General features: G+C 41.9%; 1 long non-coding RNA gene and 1 pseudogene across 1 annotated transcript, besides 1 other annotated feature; one reads left to right on the forward strand and one right to left on the reverse strand.

Moving 5' to 3' along the window:
* Positions 1 to 475: 475 nt before the first annotated feature.
* On the reverse strand, positions 476 to 5039 carry ZNF84-DT (ZNF84 divergent transcript). Its single transcript, NR_110091.1, has 3 exons — positions 4586 to 5039; positions 1870 to 1920; positions 476 to 1121 (listed from the first exon to the last, which is right to left on the reverse strand). It is a non-coding gene; the product is annotated as a ZNF84 divergent transcript (long non-coding RNA).
* On the forward strand, positions 723 to 1997 carry PTP4A1P2 (PTP4A1 pseudogene 2; annotated as a pseudogene).
* Positions 4943 to 5032: an enhancer, noted in NCBI's record as "active region_7397". NCBI's record gives its function as "activates an Ori minimal core promoter by ATAC-STARR-seq in GM12878 lymphoblastoid cells {active_cell/tissue: GM12878}" and the evidence as "EXISTENCE:reporter gene assay evidence [ECO:0000049][PMID:35858748]".

The raw sequence follows: 5252 nt of genomic DNA on the forward strand, positions 1-5252 counted from the left end.
TGTATAGAAATGTGTGTCAGCAGTAACCACTGAAACTCGCTATCTGCAGTTTCTGCATTTCTAATATTAGTCCAATTTTTAAAAATCCTGATGTAAGTCAGTATCCATATCTTGTTCCTAACTCCTCCTAATATTCTACCATTAAGAAGCACACTGGCTTTACGGTTAAAATCCTATGGTTTTCTTTTTTTATCATGTTAAGGTAGCAAACAAATTTGCTATTTTTATAAAATCTAAAATATATTTTAAAATTAATTTTTTCATGTAATTGAAGTGATTTTATTTTCCCCTTAACTTACTGCGATGGTAATATTAGTAGATTTTCTGATCAACTTTGTGTTTCTAGAATAGAATCCATTTGCTTATAGTATATTTTAGCAATGCACTGCCAGCTTCTCTCTGTTAATAACTTCTCAATATTGATGCTTGCATAATCTTAAGTTTGAGGTTTCTTTTCAAATCATACATTCATCAATTTTGGTATCTTTATGCTATTTAATAAATAGAAAATTTTCCTCCTTTTAATTCCTCTGGAATTGTTTTTTCAGCTTTACTAAAGGTATATCTGACAATTTAAAATTGTGTCTAGGGAGTGGCTGGAGTGGCAGCTGGGCAGCAAGACTAACTCTGGATCCACCAGGCCAGGTGTCGTGTACAGAGGCTGGGGCAGCCATCCCCAACTCCAATGCCCAGTGCCCAGCACACCAGCACTTTCTGGTGATGTTGCACATTTATGGTGATTCTGAGTGTGGGAGCAGACTTCTGCCAGGCTTAGCACAGCATTTTCACCGACAAATGAGCTTTGAGGTTCTACGTGCTGTCATTAATACTACCTTGAAAACTCTAGACACCAAGACTGGCCTCAGAAATAGATACCTTTTTAAAAAAATTGCAAGTATATTTCTTTTAACGATTCCAGTAAAATTAAGCATCAAGTAAACAAAAGTGGAAAGTGACCTACACTTTAAACTTGTTGAACTAAATGTAATAAAGGCTGCTTAAGTTTTTTATGTCCTTGGATTTTTTGGAGTCCAGAGGTGTCCATCTGCAGAAATTGAGGCCCAAGTTGAATTTGGATTCCAGTGGATTCTGAACAATTCTGCTTATCTTGAAGACAGAAGCTTCATAAGGAATAGACAAGTTAAATAGAAAAAACACTGATCAATAGGCAGTTTAGTGATCTAAAAATAAAACATTAAAAAGTTTTCTGCTGTGAAACATTTCAAGATTTATTGATTTTTTTTCACTTTCCCCATTACACTCACACACATGCTCACACTTTTTCTTTGCCATAATGGACTGTTCAGCCCCTGTGGAGATTTACAGGAACATGCATTTTCTCATAACCCACAAGTCTACCAGTGCCACTGCAACAAGTTCACAGAGGAATGTGAGACGTGTGGAGTGACACCTTTGGTTTGAGTTTGTGATGCTACATTTGGTAAAGTTCCAGTTGAAAAAGAAGGAATCCATATTTTAGATTGGTCTTTTGACGATGAAGCTCCACCACCTAATCAGATAGCAGATGACTGGCTAAACCTGTTAATCACTAAAGGGCGTGAAAAGCCAGGTTGCTGCCTTGCAGTGCATTGTGCTGTGGGATTGGGAAGGGCACCTGTGCTGGCAGCGCTTGCTTTGAATATGGAATTAAGTATGAAGATGCAGTTCAGTTTATAAGACAAAAAAGAAGGGGAGCATTCAATTCCAAACAGCTGCTTTACTTGGAGAAATGCCGACCTAAGGTGCAATTACACTTCAGAGATACCAGTGGGCATTGCTGTGTTCAGCAGAAATGTAAATGAAGACCGGCTGGATTGTGGCATTTTAGAGGAACTCTTAGTACTTGGAAATGTGAATCTGGAGTCTTACCTGTATCATCCAAGTAGTGATAGACTCAGTACTCAGCCACTCTCCCAATAGCTGGAAAAATGCAAACAAAAAAAGAAATCCCTCTATAAAATCAATAAAATGTTTAAGAAAAGAAAAAAATGAGATAAAATTGTATCCAAGATGACAATGGGATCTTTATATATATATATATATATATATATCATTGTGAAGTGACTGACACAATCAAGCCAGTGAATGTATCCATCACCTCACATAGTTACCCTTTAGGTATGTGTGATTAGGGTATTTCAGGCTTACTCTAAGTGAATTTCAAGCGTACAACATATTATTAACTGTCGTCACCATGCTGTCCATTAGGTCTCCAGAATTTATTCATGTTATAACTGCAAGTTTGTTCTCTTTTTAAAACATTTGACCAACATCTCCTCATTTCCCCTACTTGCCACCTGACCTCTGGTAACCACTCTTCCACTGTTTCTATGAGTTCGACTTTTTAAGATTCCACATCTACGTGAGATCGTGTAGTATCTTCTTTCTGTATCCGTGTATTTCTATGTGTATTTCACTTTGCATAATGTCCTCCAGGCTCATCCATGTTGTAGTAAATCACAGAATTTTCTCCTTTTTTGAGGCCAAGTAATATTCTATTGTGTACGTATACTACATTTTCTTTATCTTTTGATAGATGCTTAGGTTGTTTCTACATCTTCACTATTGTGAATAATGCTGCAATGAACAGGGGAGTGCAGATATCGCTGAGATATCTTTTAATTTTATTTATTTTGGATATATACTGCTATGATTTGAATGTCTATGCCCTCTGAAAATTACGTTGCAACTAACCCCCATTGTAACAGTGTTAGGAGAGTGGGAAAGCTGCCTATGGCAATTGAGAGGTGGGACCTTTGGGAGGTAACTAGGATTAGATGAGCTCATGAGGGTGGGCATTAGTGGCTTTATAGGAAGAGAAAGAGAGAAATGGGCTCGGCTGCTTGATCCCCCTTCACAGTGTGCACCCTGGACTGACCTGGGGCTCTGCAGAGAGTCCTGCTAGCAAGGAAGTCCTTACCAGAAGTGTCCCTCAACCTTGGACTTCCCAGTCTCCAGAACTGTAAGAAATAAATTCATTTTCTTTATAAATTATTCAGTGTCAGGTATTCAGTTACAGCAATAGAAAATAAACTAAGACAGAAAATTGGTACTGAGGAGTGGGGCTGTTGCTAATAATAAATCCTGAAAATGTGGAAGTGGCTTTGGAACTGGGTAATGGGCAGAGTTTGGAAGAGTCTGGAGGAGCAGGTTAGAAAAGGCCTAGATTCTGGTGAGGGATTGTCTCAAAAAAAAAAAAAAAGAAGAAGAAGAAGTTGTGAAACCATGCCCCCAAATAGTTAAAGAAACCAGTGACTAACGAATTTTTTTTTTTTGAGATGGAGTCTCGCTCTTGTCGCCCAGGCTGGAGTGCAGTGGCGCGATGTCGGCTCGCTGCAATCTCCACCTCCCAGGTTCAAGCGATTCTCCTGCCTCAGCCTCCCGAGGAGCTGGGATTACAGGTGTGCACCACCACGCCCAGCTAATTTTTGTATTTTTAGTAGAGACAGGGTTTCACCATGTTGGCCAGGCTGGTCTCGAACTCCTGACCTCAGGTGATCTGCCCGCCTCGGCCTCCCAAAGTGCTAGGATTATAGGCGTGAGCCACCGCGTCCGGCTAACAGAAATTCTTGAGCTTACAGGATGGCAGATAAGAAACAGTTTGCTGAAACTCCGTTTGTAATATAATACAACTGGCTGAAATCAGTTGAAACCAATATAACCAAACGGAGTCCATGCAGAATGAGCTTGCTGATGTCGCAGCCTGAATTTCCACTGCACTTTTCACACTAACTCTACCTTAATTTGCACATGGGACCCAAGAAGAGGCTTGAAGAGACAACTGCACATGGTCGGGGACTTTCCAGACTTCCTTTTTCCTTCACCATTCACCTGTGAATCCCAGAATCCACCCTCTAAACCTTTTTTCACAATAGTGCTGCCTTAAGGGCAGCACAGAGAGATAGATTTGAACTAAACTCCTGTCACTTTGTTGGTCAACTCGCAATTAAGCTTTTCTTTTCTCAAACGCCTGGTGCCATAGTATTGGCTTCTGTGCACATCGGGCAATGAGGTCTTTTGCGTAGCAGTATTTGGATATCCGGTTTCCTCACGCTATTTATTGAAGCGACTGTCCTTTCCCCATCGTGTATTCTTGACACAAGATTAGTTGACTTGCCTAAGATTAGTTGACTGTATATGCATGGGGTTATTTCTGGTTTTTCTACGCTGTTCCACATTGGTCCATGCGTCTGTTTTTATGCTAGTACTTCACTGGTGAGTTCTACCTCTGGGAATAAATATAAGAATTCTCTAATCACTGGATGTTTGAAGCAATTCACTAAGCAACTCATTATGATGCTTTCTGGCAAAGGATCTCTGAATTTGTCTTCAAATTGTGGATAAAATTGGGTCAAATTTGGCCCATGTTGTCCTGGAGAATCATTTGTGTCACAAATTATCAAATTTATTAGTATAGAGCGGATTTTCATTCAATTTCCTATGTGTCTATGGTTATTTCTCTTTTTTCATCTCTCTCCTCCATCTCCCCGGCCCCATCTTGCTGTCATAAGCATCGTGACTTACCTATAATTCTCCCTACGACTCCAGTTATGGATCAACTTTACTTTTTTCTGTTAATTCTTACCTTCTTTCCATAAATATATTTAAATTTTTTCTGGTTTCCTCAACTGAAGTCAAACCAATTGAGTATTGGTGGGCCGGGCGCGGTGGCTCACGCCTGTAATCCTAGCACTTTGGGAGGCCAAGGCGGGCGGATTGCCTGAGCTCAGGAGTTCGCGACCAGCCTGGGCAACACGGTGACTCCCCGTCTCTACTAAAATACAAAAAAATTAGCCGGGCGTGGCGGCGGGCGCCTGTAGTCCCAGCTACTCGGGAGGCTGAGGCAGAAGAATGGCGTCAACCCGGGAGGCGGAGTTTGCAGTGAGCCGAGATCACGCCACTGCACTCCAGCCTGGGTGACAGAGCGAGACGCCGTCTCAAGAAAATATATATATATATTGGTGGATTCGGTTTCCCTTTATGTTTCTCAGAAAACCGTGTGAGCCCGTTTGGAGTCACTCCGTCTCCAAGCGACAGGCACTTCCGGACGCGGGGCACTGTGGGAAGTTGAGTTCGCGGGGCTCCTTCCTTCGCGCATGCGCACATGCACTCTTGGTAATGCTTGCAGGTGGCCCGTTCTTCCTCTTTGTCCTTCGCTGCCACGTGAGAGGGGAGTGTACGCGTGTGCGCGCGTGCGAGTGTGCGCGTGTGCAGTCCCCGACTCGTCCCGGCCCGTTCGGAGCCGCCCGGGA

The sequence above is a fragment of the Homo sapiens genome, chromosome 12 (assembly GCF_000001405.40).
Source record: "Homo sapiens chromosome 12, GRCh38.p14 Primary Assembly".
NCBI classification, from domain to species: Eukaryota; Metazoa; Chordata; class Mammalia; order Primates; family Hominidae; genus Homo; species Homo sapiens.